At 47.6% G+C, this 22,061-nt stretch overlaps 1 protein-coding gene across 25 annotated transcripts in view, besides 1 other annotated feature; it reads right to left on the bottom strand.

Moving 5' to 3' along the window:
- The window catches only part of PXYLP1 (2-phosphoxylose phosphatase 1), a 63,100-nt gene extending 45,106 nt beyond the window's left edge, over nt 1–17,994 (bottom strand). For 2 of the 25 annotated variants that reach the window (NM_001282728.2, NM_001037172.3), the window contains exon 1: nt 17,908–17,994. The gene's annotated coding sequence lies outside the window, so the exon portion shown is untranslated. Of the gene's footprint in view, nt 1–7,402; nt 7,564–11,671; nt 14,422–14,858; nt 14,951–15,500; nt 15,637–17,383 lie in introns of those variants that run through there. The other 23 variants (XM_047449220.1, XM_047449219.1, XM_047449223.1 and 20 more) reach the window with 23 other exon arrangements.
- Nucleotides 17,876–18,255: a silencer, noted in NCBI's record as "silent region_14773". NCBI's record gives its function as "represses an Ori minimal core promoter by ATAC-STARR-seq in GM12878 lymphoblastoid cells {active_cell/tissue: GM12878}" and the evidence as "EXISTENCE:reporter gene assay evidence [ECO:0000049][PMID:35858748]".

Genomic DNA, 22,061 nt, shown 5'->3' with positions numbered 1-22,061 from the left:
TCTGTGTTCCATCCAACGTTACTGCTTTGCTCTTTCTTAAGTTTCAAAGTAGCTACATCTGAGACTGGCATTATTATTTTAGAATGTCGAGAAGCTATAAGTACCTCAACAAAGACAGGAGAACATGCAGTTGGCATGATTTACTCACCGCAAAGCCACTTTAAAAATATAGCTGTTTTTAAAAAAATTTTGCAAGCAAAGTGTGTCAATTGAAAGTTTCTTAAAATGTCAAAGAAAGCACGAGAGGATTAAACAGGCAGGCTGCAAGACTGGAAGTACAAGTGGCATAATATCAAGGCTTGAATGATAAAAGTCAAACTTTTAAAGGCAAAAAAAAAAAAAAAAAAAGCTTCCAAAGTCCTGAGACTCATAGCTGTGCAATGTAAATCAGGCACACCTGAAAGGACAGGTTATCAAGGCCTGCATTTCTGTGTTAACAATATTATATAGGAACGGGATTTTGCTCTGGATGGACTCATGGACAGGAGCACTCACGCATGCCACTGAGAGGCGTTTTGCCCAATGAGGCCTTTTTAGGCTGGGATCACACTTACCTACAGAGCTTTGGCAAGACCCTGTTCTCACTGGCAGGTGATTCTATGACTCATTCATGAAGAGGAGTGGGGCACCAGGAGCCCTGTAGCTTGTTATCACTGCCAGTGCCAGTGGGCATGAACTTTACATCCTTAGAAGTAAATCTGAGAACACGGCTGTCTCACTTAGTAGGAGGTTGACAGTGTCAGTATAGAATGAGCCCTCCTGCCCATGGAGGTGGCCAAGTGTGTGTAGCCACTGCTGGTGATGCTACAGAGGGGCTGATGTGGGTGACCTTTCGGAGCCCTCCACGTGCTGAGATCCAAGGATTCTCTGACTCAGATCCCAAAACAAGCTCTCAAAACACACACACACACACACACACTCACTCTGTCTCTCTCTCCATATATATATATACGTGTGTATATATATACGTGTGTATATATACACGTGTGTGTATATATATACGTGTGTATATATACACGTGTGTGTATATATATACGTGTGTATATATACACGTGTGTGTATATATATACGTGTGTATATATACACGTGTGTGTATATACGTGTGTATATATACACGTGTGTGTATATACGTGTGTATATATACACGTGTGTGTATATATACGTGTGTATATATACACGTGTGTATATATACGTGTGTGTATATATACGTGTGTATATATACACGTGTGTGTATATATACATGTGTGTATATATATACACGTGTGTATATATACGTGTGTGTATATATATACGTGTGTGTGTGTGTATATATATATATATACACACACGCACACATATTGCTCCTTTGCACTTATAAAGTGACAGGTAGAGCAAAAATAGAGCTAAGAGCACTGTTACCCACAATTACAACATTTAGCTTTGGAGGAAATCTGAACTGCCTCGAGTCCCAGCTCCCTGCCAATAAAGTAGGTAATAAGACTCTTAAGAGGCCAGGCTCAGTGGCTCACTCCTGTAATCCCAGCACTTTGAGGCCGGGGCAGGTGGATCATTTGAGGTCAGGAGTTCGAGACCAGCCTAACCAACATGGTGACACCCTGTCTCTACTAAAAATGCCACACACACAAAAAATTACCTGGGCTTGGTGGCGGGCACCTGTAGTTCCAGCTCCTTGGGAGGCTAAGGCAGGAGAACTGCTTGAACCTGGGAGGCAGAGGTTGCAGTGAGCCAAAATTGCGCCACTGCACTCCAGCCTGGGTGACAGAGTGGGACTCCATCTCAAAAAAAAAAAAAAAAACAAAACAAAAACTCTTAAAAGCTCCGAAGCTTTGATTCAGCTCAGCTAACAGTTGTAATGAAACACACAACTCCAGGTTGATGTAACTTAATGAGAAATTTGGGAGCCAAAGTGGTTGACACAAGTAATTTTGAGAATGAAAAGCAATGGGGGTGGCCATGATCCTTGTTTACACACCAGTTTCCACAAACTGCAGCTAACTGAGCAAGTACTTATTCTGTATTATCATAATAAAATCAAGTTTCTAGATGGAGTTTCTTACTTAATACGTCTTTCAAATAGGGCAAAAAGCTATACTGTATTATTTAGAGGTTTGTTTTTGTAGTTCTCTTACAAGGCGCATGGAGTTACTGCTTGGGTACTGTTGTGTGTTATAGGAAATTGCAGTGGTGGGAATGTTTGTTGTAGAATGTGAAGTCTTGGTTATAGAAAGTTGACTCTACCCACCAACTCTGTGATAATGAACCACAGATTGCCATATCACTGATTGTGATATAATAACTGATAGAATCAGGATGGACATCTATGCTTCCTCTCTTTAAGCCAGAGGACAAGTAATCCTAGAGGACACTTGCATTTCAGGGACATACCTGAAAGCCTTGTTTTATAAGACAAATCATTCTAACAGATTAATTTTAAAATCTTGTTTTCCAAGAAGGACTGTCTTCTGTAATCTTCCCATTAGGGAGTCATCAGATCTCTGGTCTTCTAGTGGTTTCCCATAATGCTCCATGGATGTCAACCAAATACTGCCCATGGCCTCCACGGCCCCACCTACCAGTGCAGCCTCACTTCAAGCCCTCACATTATGCCTCTCCCAGACCCAGACATCTCTCAGCCCCACAGAAGAGCCTTGCTCACTGGGGACTCCAGGCCTGGGTCAGCTGGGCAGGTGCCTGGAATGTCAAAAGGGCATCACTCCTGCTCCCCAAGAATGAACCTGAGGTGGAGAAACCTGTTACTCTTGGAGCTGCCTGAGGCAGGGGAGGGAGGTAAGACCCCAAGGAGCATGCTGGAGCCAGCACATAACGCCACTGGACTGCCTTTTTGGGAGGACTCTGGTGAGCTGAGACAGGTAGTGGGTTGGAAGCCAAGGCTGAAGTGCTCAAAAACACAGAGAATGAGACCAGTTATTGCCTGAATAACTGTGTGAGACACATGTATGAGAAACAGCCAGCTGGGCCTGGTCTACCTCCAGACTATGAGGATAAGTGTAAAATGACGGCTGTTTTAAGGCACCAAGTTTGGGAATGATTTACTATGTGGCAACACTGAGCTCCACAAGGCTGGGAACTTTGTCAGTCTTGCTCCCTATACATGTATCCCCAGGGCCAAGAACACTGCCTGGTCCAGAGCAGGTGCTTAACCAATATTTGTTGAGAGAGTGAATGAATGTATGAATGAAGAGATTAATGAATGGAGGACTCACTACAGCCAGTAGCAATCCCCCAACCTGCCTCCAGCCAGCATGCTGCCTCTCTTCTGTGCCTCCACTTTCTCACCTTGTTGACTGCTGACCATGCCCTGGATCCCAGCTCAAAGATCACTTTCTCATAGAGGCTGCCCTTCAACTCACCCGCCTTGTTTAGCACCCTGTCTCACACTCTCAAGTTACCCTGTATTTCTCCTCCATGACACTTCTCAGCACTATTCATTATGTAATCAAATGACCATGGTGAAATTCCTGGGTGGCTGGCTGTCTCCTGCGACTGACCCTAAGCCACATGACAGTAGGGGTAGTGTCTGCGTGTTTGCAGAGAGCTGACTGACCGCCTGTCAGAACATTTCTGAAAACTGGCAACATACAGCCAGTCTCATCTTAGAAAGTGCCAATTCTTAGAGAGCTCTCTTTTAATACTAAGCTGGAATTGACCTCTAACTGCTAGCCTACCCCCCACCAAGCTTTCCAAACCCATTACACCCAGGTCATCCTTGCCACGCAGACCCCAGGCGACCCAAAAGGCTAGGTGTCTTCTCCAGGTTTAGTCGGTCAGTCGGGGGAAGAACTAGAGTCTGAAGCCAGCTCTCCTGACTTTCCAGTTCAATGCTATTTCCATCATACCACACTGACTCCTGGATGTTTCCACTGACATTAAATGCTCTGAAAACATCATAATCTCTCTATCCAAACAACAACAGCAAAGCTGTGTACTTTTCATAGCAGAATGCACGGAACAGGTCAAGCTTAACATATAACACAGAGTATACAATATCCATATATAACAAGAGCTCATGGTGATATTTTAGGGACCTCTCCGCCAAATACCTAAGAGATGAGCCCGTGAGCAAATATCTAATTCTGATTTTCATTTGGTTCTTGTCTACTGGACACTCCTTGTGCCAATTCTCTGCAGGAGGTGTTTCTTCTCCTTTCTTTTCTATGACTTGTCATTCCCAGGATCTTTGAAGATCAAAGACACAAATAAACTAAAATAAAAAACACTCCAGGTGATCTGCAATAGCTCAACAGGCCAGCAACCCTGAACAACTGAGCTTTTGGAGAGAATGCAATGAACAGAGAAAACGTCCCTGACCTAATGTGAAAGGAAAAAAGGACAGAGAACAAGGCATGGCACGATTCTAATCAATATGTATAGTTATGCATATGTTTGGAAAACCAGGATGGAAAGAAATATACATTTAAAAATGAGCTGGCAGCCAGGTGTGGGTGGCTCATGCCTATAATCATAGCACTTTGGGAGGCCAAGGCGTGTGGATTACCTGAGGTCAGGAGTTCGAGACCAGCCTGGCCAACATGACAAAGCTATATTTAGTAGAGACCCCTGTCTCTACTAAAAATACAAAAATTAGCTGGGCATGGTGGCGGGCACCTATAATCTCAGCTACCTGGGAGGCTGAGGCAGGAGAATTGCTTGAACCTGGGGGACAGAGGATGCAGTGAACCAAGATTGCGCCACTTCACTCCAGCCTGCATGAAAGTGCAAAACTCTGTCTCAAAAAAAAAAAAAAAAAAAAAAGGGAGTTAGTGGCATTTCTTACCTTTCAGATTGGCCAAAAAAATTCACCTCTCACCTATCATGAATGTTAGTTAGTCTCAGGGGGATGAGTTCTTTCATACACTGCTGGTGAGAGGATTAATTAGAATAGTATCTGTGAAGGGGAAATGGTGGTCTCCACCAAAACAATAAACATGCACATCTTTTGCCCCAAGAATTTGTATTTCAGGTTTCTATCCTACAAAAGTGTTACCGCCTATGTACAAAGCAGCATTAGGAGTCATTATAAAAATGTGAAAATGACTGAAATGTTCATCCATAGGGAAACAGTTGGAAAATCACAGTTTGTCCAAACAATGGAACACGATTCAGCCTTAAAAAAAGAAAGAAGTGGGCTTAGGTGTGGACAGACAAACCTCCAAGAAATATCGCCAAGTTAAAAACAAAAGACAGAAAACAAAAGTAGCAGCATACTAGATACAGTGTAATCTCACTTAGGTAAAACCAACGCTAGCATATCCCAACATATATATGTAAATTTTCGGAAAACATAAATTTACCGAAAAAGGTCTAGCGGGAGATGGCTGCTGAAATTAACAGTGTGATCTCTATTGTGAAGTAGGAAGAACTTTCCAATATTTACTCACATATTTTAATGCTTTGATTTTATAGTATGTTGGGTGCAAATAACAAAAAAAAAAGGTGAGTAATGACAGAGGGAAACGTTATATTGTTAAGTCAAAAAGACAAGCTACAATATAGAATGTACAGGCTGGGCTGAATGGCTTGAAGCAGGTGTAGGAGCAAGACTTTTCATTGTACACTTTAGAATTTGAACCTGTGCTATTTTAAAAAATGAATTTAAATAATTGCTATTTGTAAAAGTAACAATTTTTTTTTAAAAAGGAAAAACATTAAAAGGAGAGAATATGTCCTAAATATTATGAGTGGTTATAGCTGTACTGACAAGTAATCTCAATTTTCTTTAAAACAAACAAATTACAAGACAGAAGACTGGCTCACTATTCCTTAAGTAAGTAGGAATCCTGGCAGGCTTATTTGCTCGCATATATTTCTGCATTTTCTAAATTTTCTTAAACAAACTTGTATTACTTCTAAAAATCAGAAAAAAGGAGTACTGTAAAACATATTTAAATTATTTTTAAACAATGCAGTTAAGCAGTATCTCACAAGGCAGGCACATGATAAATTATAGAGACCAGTGGTTTTCAAACAGTATCCTCTTTCAACACTCATCACAACATGGAATCTGATGTGGAATTCAGGTAGCAGTGGAGGTGCTTAGGTGGACTGGGAGGGGCCTCGTGCCCCACTTAGCAGCAGCTCCATCCACCTGCCGAACCCAGAGTTCCAAGAACATCCTTAGGAAATGCACCGTACAGACAGACAAAGGCTACAGGCACCCGAGGGGTGGGGGACTGTGCTGGGATGATCAGCGAGAGGGCTGCGTGAAAGAGGCGGAAACTGTGCTAAACTAAAAGGCAGGGAGGATGTCAGTGGGCGTGCCTGATGTGAGGATAAATGGTACAGAGGCAGGCTGCAAAGCCCACCCCTATGTCACCGTACCGTGGATGACAGGCCTTATGCAGTGAGTCATCAGTGAACAGGGTGGAGGAGGGCTGGAGCCAGACTGGGTTCCCGTAGGAGTAGGGAGCCACTGAAAGTTTCTCAGCATACGCCTGACTGGATGAAGGTGGTATTCTTGAAATGTCACTCTCAAGCTGCTGATAGATACAGCCTGCATATCACCCCACCTCTGAGTTACATCATGGCGCTGGCAGCAGGAAGACACCCTCCAACCTCCTGGGTCCTTGTGGCTGTATCATCATACAACTGGTGGGTTTTTCCAAGATTGTGCTGTGTTCAGTAGACCAGGCCAGGCAGGCTCTGGCCCTCCTACACTGCTATCCTAGAAGTAGCTCTCATTCCAGGGGCAGTAGAGTTGGGGTCCCCAAGTCACAGCTCATGGTCCCTCCCTGGCACTGAGACCAGGCCTTTTACTCCACCACCTAACAGCTCGGGCAAGGTATTTAATCTCTCTGAGCTGCAGTGTCCTCACCTGCAAGTAGTAATTCATTCATTCATTCATTCAGATATTTACTGAGCATCTGCTCTATGCCAAGGATAGTTATAGAAGCTGGGGATTCGAAGTGACCAAACCAGCCCCAAATTCCTGCCCTCATGGAGCTTCTATTCTAGTGGAGTGTAATATTGCTGCCTGCCTCAGGGGGCATGGAGGGGATTAGATGAGATCCATCCTGGAAAACATAAGACAGTCATGATTTCGTTCTCATTATTATTTGCATTCCCTGCAGCACTTGGACCAAGAAGGCACCCAAAAAACAGCATCAAACTATTCAGTCTCTGTCTACAAATACAGATTAACCCAGCTTGAAGCAAAGTGCAGTTCATTCAGCCCTTGGCTTAGACTAGCATGATGGTTCATCTCTCTGTACCCCACCCCCCAGCACTGTCTCCAGTCCACCTTAATAAACAGGGCTGGGAGGGAGAACGAAGGAAATCACCCTTGGAACCATTCATCACAATCAAGGCAGCTGACAGCTTTGCTAAACCCTGGCTCAGCCCTCTTTTCCTTAGGGAAAGAAAGCACAGTTATCAGAACCCTTACCTTCTCAGGCAGTGCTGAAAGTTCCTTTTTCGGGCCAGGGTGTCCTGCCTTATATGGGACATGAACACCTGATGGACTGCACACCAGCCTCCAGCGGGCCCCATGGAGAGGACTCAGCCCCTCTAATCAGGCCAGTCTGTGGCAAGGCGAGCCCTCATTTGGTGGATTTCAGGATTGAGCGTTCATTTCAATGTGTCCTCGAGGGCATGTATGAGCCTGGGGCGGGGGTGAGTAACAAGCACAACCAGTACATATTCCAAGTGAGTAGCCAGAAGCATTGGTATAAGTCCAAGGGAGAAAAAAACTATAAGCCAACTTTAGAACTTCATCCTCTGGGCTCCAAGAAAGTGCTCCATCAAAAATCTCCCTGGCAAGTATCTTGATATGTAATGACAGCTTCAGCTTTCTTCACCAACTACATGCTGGAGTTCTGGTGCCAGCCTCTATTTTTATAGCCTGAGTAATGCCCGGGCAAAGGACCAGTCAAGAATCAGACACAGAGGGACAGGGCACAAGACGTGACGGCACAAGTGATGGGGCCCCTCTCCTACTCAGCCTCCAGCAGCAGACCCTTTAGAGCAGAGTCTGGGACAGCAGCCAAGCCCTCCTCAGATTCTGGCCCAAACTCCTCTGCAGACTCATCCCCTCTCACAGCCAGCCCATGAGTTCCATGGGGGCTGGTCCTTTTCTGCAAACCCTGTAAGGCCAGGCCCCATGGCACAGCAGTGTTGGACGGGTGAATGGCCACACCATCTCGCACGACTCTGGCACAGTCGACTTGCTGTTCCCCCTTTTCATAACTCAATGTCTGTGCCCATTCCACTCTCTTGGCCCAGATGTCTTCTTGACCTGGTTAACTCCTGCTTATCCTTAAACTCAGCTTAAGCACCACCTTCCCCTGGAAGCCTTCCCTGACCCCAAGGCTGGGTGACATCTTCCAATACTGGGCAACCACAGCCCTCAGAGCCTACCCCTCCCACTCTACTCATCAACACGACAGACTCATGTCAGCTTCCTTGCCCACCTTCCCCAGGGCTGGGTGGAGAGACAGCAGAGCAAGCAGCAGGTGCTCAACAGGTGTGTAGGGGAAGGGAGGGAGGGTGGGAAAAAGGAAGGGTGAGCACCAGGAAGAATGCTGCGGACGGAATAGCCCCATCACAGAAACCTACGACAAACTAAACAAGAATAAAGCACTACAGCCCAGTATATCAATATACCACTCATCAATTATTACTGAGGAAAACTAGCAGGAAGTAGTGGGAAAACACTTTTTAATGAATTAGAGGGGAATCAGGTTACTCTTTGTTGTGTCCTCTCCTCCCCTCCAGATGTGGGTTGGGGTGGGGGCTGGAGAGGAAGAGAAGCTTTGGAAGGTTGAGTGGGCAGGGGCACTTGAAAACAGGGAGCTCTCATAGGTTCCTCTGGCCTTGGGGGACTAAAGACCACTTCCTCTGGGGTAACCTCCAACTGCTGATGTGAATCAACTAGGACACATTCCCACAAAGCTGTTAAGAACATGTCCTGTGTCAAGACAGGGGGATAATGAGGGCCTCCCACTGTCCTACTGAGTCATCTGGCCCAGTTCCCAAAGGTAGGAACAGAAGCAGGGATTCAGAACAGATGATCTCCTGGGGATGAAGACGACTTTTGGCTGGAGCCTTCTTAGCACAGCATTTCCTTCTAAAGAAAACACCCCCACTAGCCCCTCAATATCCACTCATTCTTTCTTGTTAAGAGAATCCTGATTTTTGGGGGGAGGAGGGGGCAGACAGTGTAGCAGAGACTGCCAGCTAATTGTGATACCCATCTCCTTTCCCTCCTGGGCATGTGGCTGGACCACATTTCCTCCCCTTGGAAGGTATGCTCACACGACTGAGCCCTGGCCAGTGGAATGTCAGGGCCAGTAGTTCAGCACCTCTGAGCCTGGCCCACAAAATCCTCCCACACACCATCCTCCATGTTCCTTCCTCTTCAGCTGAGTGAGGCAAAGGAGCATGGCAGCCTTGAGAGCCTGAGTCCCTGAATATCCTCTTGGAGGAAAGCCCCAAGCAGAAACAGCCATTTTGGACTGTGTGTGAGCAAAAAGTGAATGCCTACCATATTTGAACCATTAAACATACTTTGTTTAAGCAGTGAGCCTTCCTCAGTGTGCCCCACTACACACTCACATGGCCCGTTTAACTGGGGGCAACCCATGTGATACAGTTCTGGCCATGAAATGTCAGGGGACATCTGGTTTGCTGGTGTTTTTTGCCATCATGAAGGAAAGGCCAAGAGAGTAACACAAGTGTCAGTACAGACAGATGTCAGCTGCTGAAACCAACACCAGCAATCACCTATCTTCACGCATTTTGTTACATAAGATAAACAAACCCCTATTTACTTAAGCCACTAAGCCAGGGCTTTCTGCTACTTTCAGCCAGACACATTCATAACTGATATGCTTTGCAACCACTCATCATTCATTCACCCAACTTTTATTGAGGCCTGTTTCATGCCAGTCCTTGTGCTAAAGGCCAAAGCTTTACAGATGAGCTGGGTATGGTCCCTGCTTTCTAGGGGCTCCCTATCAAGCTGGAAGAGAGGCCCATGAGCAGACAATCAGAATACACAGGGAATGGATGCTGTGGTGGCACATGATGATGTCCCAGGAGAGTGTGAGCATTGGGCAGTGGGCTGGCACTGAGGTGAGGCATTCCCAACTCCCCTTCGGGCATTTGGCACACAGAGTAAATAAACACTTCTCAAGCTAAAAAGCAAGTAAAAAGAACTCGGGATCCTCAGCCAAGCCAACTGCAATTACTTAGTGTAAGTAGAGTCGTTAAACACCATCAATTAATGCAGCTGTTTCAAGATAATCAGCAGTCATTAGAGCAAGATGCACAAGAGAAAAAAAATCATATGCTGCTAACTTAGCAATGCTAGAAATTATGTGAACCGAGGATGAGACAGGCTTGCTTAGATCTTCCTGCCTGCTGACGTTAGCCACCTCCCAAAATATACTTTCTTTCTCAAAGAAGACAGTGATTTTTCACTTTGAAGACAGAGCCAAAAAAAATCAACCATCCATGCCATGACCTTCGACCATAAATGCCCAAGCTTTGATTTTTCAGGTCTGTGTTTCCATTAGGGACTGCAACGGAGACAGACACACTGGCGACAAAAGAGGTTCCAGTCTGGGAAATCAAGAGATGATCATGACCAGAGAAGTCAGAGCACCTGGGGAGCCATTTGTAAAACAGAGAAAGGGTTTTCCCCCTTTTACCTTAATTCTCCCTACATACAAAAGGTTGGCATTATTTGCTGTTTCTTTGTTTTACAAGTGTGGGGCAAGGTTTTTTTTTTTTTTTTAAGACAAAACTTCATTTAAAATTTCCAGGACATAGGTCTACCCTTGAACAACACGGATTTGAACTGAGCAGGTCGACTTACACGTAGGTTCTCTTCCGCCTCTGCCACCCCTGAGACAGCAAGACCAACCCCTCCTCTTCCTCCTTCTCAGCCTACTCAATGTGAAGACAATGAGGATAAAACCTTTATGATGATCCACTTCCACTTAACGAATAGGAAATGTTTTCTCTTCCTTATGATTTTCTTAATAACATTTTCATTTCTCTAGCTTATTGTGAGAATACAGCATATAATACATACAACATACAAAATATGTGTTAACTGACTGCATTATCAGTAAGGCTTCTGGCTAACAGTAGGCTATGTATAGTTACAATATTGGGGATTTAAAAGTTATACTTGGATTTTCAACTGTGGGGGGCCATGGTGGGGGGAATCAGTGCTCCTAACCCCTGAGTTGTTCAAGGGTCAACCATAGTTTAAAGTAAATAAAAATAAGCTGGTTGCCACTAAGATAACTGATGACTGGTTTTCCAGTCTGACTGCTGACTTATCGGTATGAAGTATTCCAGTGTATGTTGAGTACAAGCTGGGCTAATCACGCTCAAACGAGGCAGAGAAGCACTCGAGTTCCTGAAGCAGCAATCACAGAAGGATTTTCTGGTCGACAGCCCATTGCTGGAGGCCGTGCCAGCTCCGTGATGGCAGGTGCTAGTCGGGCAGGCTGCCATGCTGGAGCCTCTCTGTAGGACGCACAGAGCAAGCAAAGCGAGGTCTGAGGAGGAAGGTCCTCTCTTTCCAGCACCAGTTAGGAAACCCATGCCCGTCAACATAGTTTCTTTGGGTCAAGAAGTTTCTAGCTACGGCAGACACAGGAAATGCAGTGTTCTGGCTTCCTGCCTCTGGCTAGTCCCCTACCTGCTCTCAGGAGCAGCTGTGCCATTTCTTGCTCAGAGAACTGGGTCTCTGATAGTACCAAAGGTTTCTGGGGCTGCTGAAGAGCCAGTCCAGTCCAAAATAGTAGCCAGGGCAGCATTCTGTCAACCAGGACCAAAAATAGTGTTGGCAAAACCAGGTGACTAAACAGATCTAGGATCTCTTATCATGCTTCCCACTAACAACCTGTGGCCAAGAGTGACAGTTAAAACAACCAGCATGTGTCAGACACAGATGAGTCAAAATGAGTGCCTGTTTCAAAGAGCTGGCAAGGTCACCACCCCATGGTCAGCCCCTTCACAGCCTCTCATGGCTGTAAGTGAGCAAGTGCCTGGAAATCGATCTGCACCGCCATTCATGTCCTTCACCACAAACTGAAATATAATGTCCTCTGTTCCATGAGGACAGAGACTATTATCCTGTATCCATCATCTCAGTGCAGTCAGTTGGCGCCTAAAAGGTAATTTTAAGAAACAAATGAATAGGAATAGCAGCTAACATTTTTAAAGCATGTACCATGTGGTAGGTGCTTTTCTAAGCCCTCATCATGTATTATTATATTTCAGTTTCACAACAGTACCATGAAGTAGGTATTATTATCACCACCCAAATTTTACAAATAAGGAAACTGGCACAGAGAAGTAACTTGTTCAAGGGTACATTGCTAGTAATGGTAGAGCCAGGGTTTAAAGTCAGTTTGGCCTCTGAATGTACACACTCAATCACTGCACTGTGCTGAATACACAACCAACTCAGGTACTCTAGTATTAGGAAGTCATCAACAGAGAACCTCTGACATCTACAAACCTTGAGAAGTCCTTTCAGGTTTCTGGGTGCTACATACAGAGTTTTTGTTTGTTTGTTTGACTTGCAGAAAGTTTTAGAGAAAACCAATGCCTATTTTTATCCCTAAGAATAGGACCACCTACAATTTTCAAAAAACTATGTAACCACATTTGGTTATCAAGCAACGTGGGCAGGGATATCCAGGTTTACATAGTATTTCTCTGCTTATGAGATCTGAATTCTAGAGGAAGCCTTTTAACCATCCCAAGGTCCCATCTCCCCATCTCTAAGCAGATCGCAGGCTTATTGAATCAAATGAGATATGGACAAAGTTGCTTTTTTATATAGTAAGGTACTGTATAAACATAATGCATGATCCTAATAATTAATATAACTTGCATAAAATATTATATACTTATTAATCTATACTTGCCAAATTTTCTATACTTTCAAGATAGTTCATATTTATATCTATGTTTTAAGATTTAAGCTTAATAGTTTATTTCTGTAAGTCCCTCCATTATTATTTCTGAGCTTCCAAAAATTTGTTCTACAACTTTACTAACTTTACGGTAATCCAACTGCCACTTTCATTTTAGAAGCATAAAGCCTTAACAAGACAGTAAATGTTTAATTCTAACTAGATTCTCCTATGTCTGCAGAGAACAAACAGCAAGTAAGAGCTTCATTTTATTTTACGGTTAAAAGCTCAAAATGATACTGCTGGATCTCTGAAGGCCTGAAGGTTGGTGTTAGATCCAAGAATGAGGTAAGCTTAGGAAAGCAAGCTGTGGTTTTGTTGGTTGAAAAGACACATGTCTCTGAATAACTGAGGGGTGGGACAAATAGTATTCAAAATGATTTGTAACTTTAATGTAAATGATGGCTGTAACCACAAACAGAAGTGGAGGAGGAAAGGGGAGAGAGTGGGGGCATCAAAACCAGGTGCAATAATTTTCATCTTAATATGCTTTTTAATCAATATGCTATTGATTACAGCTCTTTCTGAGGAAGCTGGTCACACCCAGGGGCATAAGGGTGGCGAGCAGGTGACAAAAGGATGCCCTGTAAACTGAAACATGAGTGTGTAAATTGGGGAAATGATTCTGCAAATACAAAGAGAATTTTAAAGTTACTACAGTCTCTACTACCACATGTTTGAGTTCCCCCAAACTCTCCTCCACCCTCGAGTACGCAGCTCAGAGGGAGCTCCACTGATGGAGGGAGGGGCAGACGCATGCACAGATGACTGTGGGCCAAGGGAATGAGGTGAAGGGTGCCTCCTGACTGCAGAAACTACTCCCCAAGCCGCCATCCAGTTCTTCTTCCATGCCTTTTTAATCATTAACTTCTTCCAGACTCCTGAGATTGTTCCCGCCATCACTGCAGACTGAACTTTTTCCAAAAGCCAGTGGCTTCCCCAGCCAAAGTCCAAAAAGGGTCAGAGAAGCCTGCTGGTTTTGAGGGTGGAGGATAAACAGGCCAGAGTCTGTGGCTCAGTTAGGTGTTAGTTGGCCAGGGCCCTCCTGCCTTTTGGACTCAGAGCGGACCCTGAAATTCATTCTGGGTTCACGGGTGCCTCCTCGTGGCTGCCATGCAGCATCTCCAGGTTGAGAGGCTCCAATGGGCCGTCGTTTACCTGCAAGGCTGCACAGCAGGTTCAAAAAGAGTCCCTGGGAGATGCTTCTATCAAAAGGCCCACCATCCTACTAGAAAGCTGCTCCCTCTTCTTCACCTCCTAAATACAGGTGCACAGACCTTCCAAGCCACTGCTCCTTTTGTCACTTACCTAGACTCTCCCCTCAGCACCTCAGGTGAGATGAAGTGGCAATGGCTGCAATCTGAAGTGGCCATGGGGGCTCTCCAAGTGGTACCCTGTCTCCCTGGAAGCTTCCTCCATTGGAAAATGGGTGATGTCAAAGGGGACTGGGGCTACAGCTCAGGGCCTATAAATTAAGCCATGGTAAAGTGGCTTCCCAGGCCAAACCCCAGACCAATCTTGCTCAAGCCATTATTTCCAAAAGGGCACACACCTCATTCAAAAACTTCAAACAGCTCAGTGCTCTCCTGCCGTGCTAAGCCCAAGTCTCAGCTGGCTTTCAAGGCCTTCTCAAAACCAGAATGATGGGCCCAGCAAATGGATTTCAGATTCCCATGGGGTCATTTTTCCTATCTCAGTGACTTTGCTCCTAACTGGTAACCCCTACACTGGAATGTGGGCACACTTCCTTATCCACCAACCAGGAACCTTGTCCAGGGACAGGTTCTGGGGCCAAAATCTCCCCCTATGAATTTTCAGGACCTTGAACATTCTCCTATCCTTTCTCCCACCCACCTCTAGATAGTAGTATGTCTCTTTCTCCCTCTCCTCCCTTTCTCTTACTCACAGACTGCAGGCATTAATTAAACCTCTTCTAGAAAACAGATTTTCACCAGCTGCAGGAATTCTGAGCCAGACCTGAAGACAGAGACAATCTGGGTAAGAAAGATAAGTTCGTGACAGCCAGGGGCAGTGCAGGCTCCCACAGCCAAGTGGCAGTCTCAATTTTAGCCCTTTCCAGATTCCCCCACAAAAAAAGGGGGACATGAGGTGTTCCCACCCCCTCAGCATTTGGCTGTACTGCCTGGGGGTGGCCTTTGACAGAGGCACAAGAGCTGGACCTTGCCCCATCTGCCAGTGGGTTATAGCCACCTCCAAGAGACCAAAGCACTGGCCCAAAACACCAACCTCCCTCCCACCAATAGAGCTGCAAGCCACAGTGCCAGAAATGTGCAAGAAGAGGCACTCCCAGCTCGCCACAGGAAGCAACACCCACTGGAGTGGGGATGGTGCAATCTGAAGTGGCCAGTGGGGCTCTGCAAGTGGTACCCTGTCTCCCTGGGAGCTTCCTCCGTCAGTGGGCAGGGATAGGAAATGTTAAAGGGGACTGGGGCTACAGCTCTGGGCACTATAGGTTAAGCTATGGTGGACTCAACCCTCAGCAGACAAACTTAGTAGCTTCCAAGGGCGCCCACCACCACCTACCCCAATTCTTGAATGAAGACAACTGATTTTCTTCATGGAAATCTTGGAGTCCCCACTGAGGTTAACGACCCACCATCAGAGACTGATCCGTAGATTGCACTCACTGCTCCAAACACACACAAAAATGAGTTTGTCTCTGGTGATATGACACATTAAAAAAAAAAAACTGTTGAATTTAAGGGTAACATTTTGAACAGTGTAGCAAAGTGTAGAAAACATTGGTTGTGAACTCAGACTAATTCACCGGGGCATCCATTTTTTTTCCTCACAAACACTGAGTACCCCTATGTGGTAGACAGGGGGGACCAGGCAGGGACCTGGGGCCACAGAGGTGGTTCCTTCCACCCATCCCTGAAGATGCTCCTGCACAGTGGGGCATCTGACAGCGACTCATCACAGAGCGGTGTAGGGAGGGCCAAGGAGAAGCCCACGGGAATTTCTGGACAGAGAGACCCTACTGAGCCCCAGTATGTCCTTGGGCTACTTATCTAATCAATAGTGAAGTAATATTGAGCTAACTATTCAAGCTGATCAATAGAAAAAAGAGTTACAGATACTGCAGTTCCACAAACACTCGGAGTGCTGTGCTCCAAAGGCCAGGTGGCCCACGCTGTTCCTGGTGCCCAAACGCAGCCTCCCAAGGCATCAGTGAGGATGGGCTGGCCAGGAGCCAATCCCTAACAGAGAAGTTCCCCCTACACATCCTTTCTCTGAGATAAGCAATTAATTTAATCCAAGACTTAATGAAAGCCAGGAGAAGGGATGGGGCAGATTCATACACTGGCTTTCAGGCTGTCCCGTGCATCTTCACCTCTCTCCAGGGACCACGAGGGTTTTTTTTTTTTTTTTTTTTTTGACAGGGTTTTGCTCTTATTGCCCAAGCTGGAGTGCAATGGCGCAATCTCAGCTCACTGCAACCTCTGCCTCCCAGGTGCAAGCGATTCTCCTGTCTCAGCCTCCTGAGTAGCTGGGATTACAGGTATGCACCACCACGCCTGGCTAATTTTGTATTTTTAGTAGAGACGGGGTTTTTATGTTGGTCAGGCTAGTCTCGAACTCCCGACCTCTGGTGATCCGCCCGCCTCGGCCTCCCAAAGTGCTGGGATTACAGGCGTGAGCCACCGCGCCCGAGGCCTTTTGATCCATCTGCTATAAATCCCCTTCCCACAGATGTCCCGATTGGGCACCAACACCTCTGAGGAGGGTAAGTTACTGCCAAGCCCGACCGCAGTCGCATCCCGTTTGAAAGGGTGGGCTCCGCACTGCCAGCTTCACACCCACGGGCCTTCTGCAAATATCAACAAACGGCTCCATTTGTGGAGCACTCTCCGATCCCCCATCCACCCCCCTACACTTCCCCATTCACAGCTCGATCTGATTCCCCATCTCTCCTGATTTTACTTGTTGAATGCTTACAAAGGATCCTTGCCTTTCCACAAAGACACTGGCTAGCCAGGCGGTGATAACCTCACTCACTACAGAGCCCCCTCGCAATCGCTGAACTCACAGCCGAAGCGGGAAAATATGGCTCCACGTCCTGCACCGTGAATCCTTTACCATCCACAGGTACAATTTAAAAGGCAGCTGCGGCTGCAAAGCAGGCAACCTACCCTAAGCAAATCCATTCTCTCTCTCTCTGTGTGTGTGTGTGTGACAAACCCAGCTTATTTAAAAGATCAGGACATAGGCAAGTTCACCAGCAAAAGCAACGTCGTGGGTCTACACCACACGGTCCTAACCTGCGCATCCAGGAATGTTAACCTGCGCTCGGGCGGCCCCGTGGCCAGGCCCGGGACTCCCGGAGGCGTCAGGCTGCAGGTGGCTGCCAAGAGGAGCCAGCCCCGTCTCCGGGAAAGGCCGCGAAGTTGCGGCCGCCTCCTTACCTGGAGACTAGCCGGCTCAGGACCGCCCGGGAAGGGGGATCCCGGGAGCTTGAATCTCGGCTGGAATCCAGCGGCGGGAGTGCGGGGGCCGTGCGGGAGAGGGCTGGAAGGGCGGGGGCGAGGTGGAGGCGGGCTCCGCGGGAGAGTGCGGGGCTGCGGGGGGCGAGGGCTTGGAGACAGAGCCGGGGGTTCGCAGCGGGCGTGAGACGGCGCCAGCTCTGGGAGAAGGGGGCTATGGGGCGGGCGCCGGGGCTGGGACACCGGGCGCACGGGGGGAGTGGCAGGAAAGAGGGCGCAAGTCCTAGGCTCAGGGGCGAGCGCGGGGATAAAGGAGGAGGCTTAGTCGCGGGATTCGGACCCGACGCTTCGAAGCGCCCCCAGCCTTCCCGCCCCTCTCCCACTGGCGAGTTAGGGGGACCCCCTCAGTCTCCCAACCTCGGACCCTGGACGCCCACCCGCCTAGAACCTCTGCGCTGCTCGGCCCCAACGGCAACCGCCCCGGCCCAGGCCCGCGCCGCACTCACCGCCCATGGTCCCAGGCCGGCCCCAGCTCCGTCGCTGCGCGCCCGGCTCGGCGCTCGCCGCCAGCTCCTCCCGGCGCGAGGGGAGGCGAGGGCGGCGCGCACCCGCCACCGGGGAGCTCGCGGGGCCCGGCAGCGCCCCCTGCCGACCCCGCCGCGCCCCGTCTCAGTTCGGCCGGCCCTGCACCAGGAGCCCTGGAGCTCCGCCCCGGAGGCGGTGTTGCGGTGCGGCTGGGCGGGGGCGACCGCGCGGGGTTGCTGAGAGGACACTGCCTCTGGGAGGCCCAGCACAGCCCGGAGAGACTGGTCAGTCTGCAGAGCCCTCGGCGTGCAAAGCCACGGGCACGGACAAGCCGAGCGCGCAGGGACCACGACCACAGACGCGCAGGGCTCTCGCGTGCCTCACAACTCCTGACCTGCGATCAGGGACTGCGCGGAGGCGCGCCAAGGCCCAGGAACACAGCCCTGGCCGGCCCGGGCCCTAGTGTGGGTGCTTTGGGGCCATGTGCCTGCCCTGGCGCCGCTGATGCTATCGCCGGGTGGGCGCGCGCGTCTGGGGTGCGCCTGCTGCCACGTAGACCCAAACTGTCACCCCCCACCCCCCACCCCTTTCGGCCTATCCCACACTCCTCTTCCGGCTCAGAACACATCCGGCCTTGTGTTGCTCTAGTCCTCGCTGCTGCTCCGTCTCCAACGGTCTGCAGAGACCCGGGGAGGTCGTGGCCCCGCGCAGTCGCCCTTCCCACCTGCTCCCGGCCCGCGGCTTCCTTGGAGCCGCTGCTGAAGATCCTCAGAGCACTTGAGGGCTGCCTGTAACGCCCCGTTAGACATCTGATAGGCGAACGGTTGTATTTGGTTTGATCAGTATTTGTGGGTCATTTATTGCAAATGTTAGGTTCCAGCTGGTGGAGATTTCCACCAGATTTCTCTGTGGGAGATGAAACGACCAACAGCGATTATCAGAGAGGTCTTTGCTGTCAGCTCGAGGTCTACAGCAACCCTGTGTGTCCTAGCACAACTAGCCTCAGGCAAAATAGATACGGATTCGAATTTGCTACTATATACCTTTGAGGTGCACCTTTGGGAGGATCTCATCCCTTGACTTCTGCTTTCTCTCCTTGATTGATGGCTCTCAAATCCACACACTTGGCTCAGATATGTTAGCCATATTTCCCCCTACCCTCCGGTTTTTTTCTTAGAACTTTCCTCCTCAAGTTACCACGTCTGGCACTAAATTTTACCTCTTCCAAGCTCCCAACTCCATTTATCCCCGTGGTCTCGCCATTCTCTCAGCCACCTGTCATGCCTTCTTCATCAGGTGCCTTAATGGCTCGTCAGTACCGGACTTTGCTGCCTGTCCGCCTCTGGTATTCCCCCGATGCAGCGCTATCCCGGGCCTTTTTTCTGCCCTGAATACTGACAGCCTCTCCCAATCCATGAGCACAAAATCTTTTCACTGTCCCCTTTGGCATCACCCCCAACTCTCCCACCTGGCCCCCACAGAAGCCCACCGCAGCCCGCCCAACAATGTCTCCTCTGCCCCTTCTGATTGTCCTCTCACGGATTGCAGGCTCTACTGCTTAGCTCACACTGTCACCCTCTTCTCTACATGGGTTAGTCAAGGTGCTTTCTGCTGTAAAAGACAACCCAATTCACACTAACTTAAATCACAAAGGGTTGATCCGCTGTGTACATGAAGAGCCTGTCTGCTTCAGGCCTGGCTTTAGTCCCAGGGTCTCAGGGACTCCCCGTCTCAGTTTTGCTGTCTTCCACATGAACTACGCTTTCATGCGCACATGAGACCCTGGCAGATCCAGGCTCACAGCCTCACAGCTCTAGTTCTAGCAGAAAATCAGCTTCTCTGCCAGCCATTGCAACTAGCCTTGGACCTGGCTTTGTTTGCAGGATTGGGCCACATGTCCATGCTGTGCTCTCAGCCTCTGTGACTCCATGGCAGGTGGGTTCACTCGTGGACACACTATCACCCTCAGCAGGGAGCATGTAGGCACTCTTGGATCCCTTCTCTGTCACAAGGGGACTAAAGGTAACTCAGGGCACCATCTCTAGCCATTTCTCTGCAAAATTTGCCACACCAGCGCTTTGCTTGACAGCGCAGGGCATACTGTGGGGGCAGAGTCTCAGCCTGGAGATAGGACACAGGCCCTTTCTGCTTTCAGCTTCCTCCTTAACCTATCTGAGATCTGTGTCTTTGTACCACCCCCTTCCCTAGGTCCACACTTGGTATAGGGATAGCCTCAGGCCCTCATGGAATCAGGCATCATACACTCCCTAGACTCACATCCTGTTTCTTTACCTCACCTTCCCGATTCCCTGAGGATGTCTATGCTACCTTCCATTCTAGAGGAGGCATCTCCTCCCCCTGTGGACTCTGGGTTCTGAGTGGTACCCACCGAGCCTTAATGGAGAAAGGGGCTATAGGGAAGAAAAAAGAAAAGCTTCCTACAGGGAAAATAGATATGAGGAAGCATCTCAAGACCATTACTCCCACTAAATCTCTTTCCTCCGTGGTTGCTGAAGAGGCAGGATGGCAGCCTGACACAGCTGGGGACCATCTGGCCAGCACCTGGGGAGACTGTGCCAGAGACTGCAGCTGACAGAGGAAAGCAGAGTGGTGAGATAGGCAGGTTTCTTTCTTTCTTTCTTTTTTGTTTACCTTCACAACAGAATGGATGTCATAGGCAGGTTTCTGCTGTGCCTGAATCCCACATACCACTGGATTTTTCAAGTACGTGTTCCAGTAAATACCCCATTTTCCCCCAAGCAAATTAGAATTGGCTTTCTCTGTCACTTGCAACCAAGAGAGTCTTGACTAGTATAAGCCTCTAGCATAGGACCTCACACATTAGTTCCTGTAAAATAGCAACTATCATCACCGTTATTCATATGATAAATGAGCAAGCCATCCTCTTTGGTAACTGTAAACTGTAGAAATGAAAAGTGCATGCAGTATGCTCAATAACTTTTGTCTCCCCTCTTATTCCCAGCCTGCTCCTTTGTCCTTTCCAAATTCACATCTTGACCTCCAAGGAAACCCTCAACATTCATTAAAAGCAGAGCCCACCCATCTTATAAAAATAGTCCCAGACTCACCCAAGTCACGAATATTCCGCTAGGCAGCATTTGCTCCCATGTTACACAAGTGATCCCTTCCTAGACTATAAGCAACTGGGAGCAGGTGTCCAGCTTCAATTCACTTTCAAGCCTTTGAGCAAAAATTGTACAAATATTTGCACAGCCTCCTTTGTCCCGTACTGTAGACTTAAAGAAACAATGAGCTACTGCCTCTACACTTAAAGGGACTTTACCATGGGGAAAGACAAATAGTCTAGGACAGAGACTGAGATGACAGATGACAATACCAGGGAGTCCTCTAGGGGATGGAGGTGGAGTGGTTATTTGCACCATGTTCTAAGTTCCAAAGGCCTGTGCTGCCTGCAGTCTTGACTTATGACAGATTTTATACATCCACACTAAACCTTTCTTCTGTGCCCATCACAGTATCCAGAGAATAAATTTCATTTCAAAATTCCATTTACCATGGGTTTTGTTTCTCCGATGACAAAAGAAGTACCTATTCATTGTTGAAACTTGGAAAAATACAAAGCACACAAAAATAAAGATTAAAACTAAAATTATACATAATAGATTTATGTTGATTAATATAGTAGAGAATATCAAACTGTGATGTAAAGAGAGAATATGGCCTCATTCACACTTCTACCCCACACCTGGCAACTGCAGGGCCTCAGGGAGATAAATATCTTGCAAAAAGCTAAAGATCATCCTTAGCTTCTTGCAGAAATGCTGCACTGTCTCTAACACATGTATAGTTTTTAAAAATGCAATCCAGGCCAGCTCCAGGGTGGTCTGTTCTCTATTATTTATGTATGCATGATTCATTTTACTTACCACCAGCTGTAATCCCTTCTCCCCACCCCTAGCAGGCCTATTATGCAAGTCCCTTCCCCCTCCTGAGAGCAGCTAGGGAGGCAAACTCATTTTCCCATCTATCTGGGTGAAATTTAATTAGAAAGCCAAATCTGGAAGAACAGAACACAAAATAACCACATTAAATAAAAATAAGAGATGGCTCTGAACTTGACTTTAAGCCAAAAAATCAAAGAACTGCAGTAATT

Source organism: Homo sapiens, chromosome 3 (genome assembly GCF_000001405.40).
Source record: "Homo sapiens chromosome 3, GRCh38.p14 Primary Assembly".
In the NCBI taxonomy this organism is placed as follows: Eukaryota; Metazoa; Chordata; class Mammalia; order Primates; family Hominidae; genus Homo; species Homo sapiens.
The sequence above is the reverse complement of the archived record's forward strand: the minus strand, read 5'-3'. Positions and strand labels throughout refer to the sequence as shown.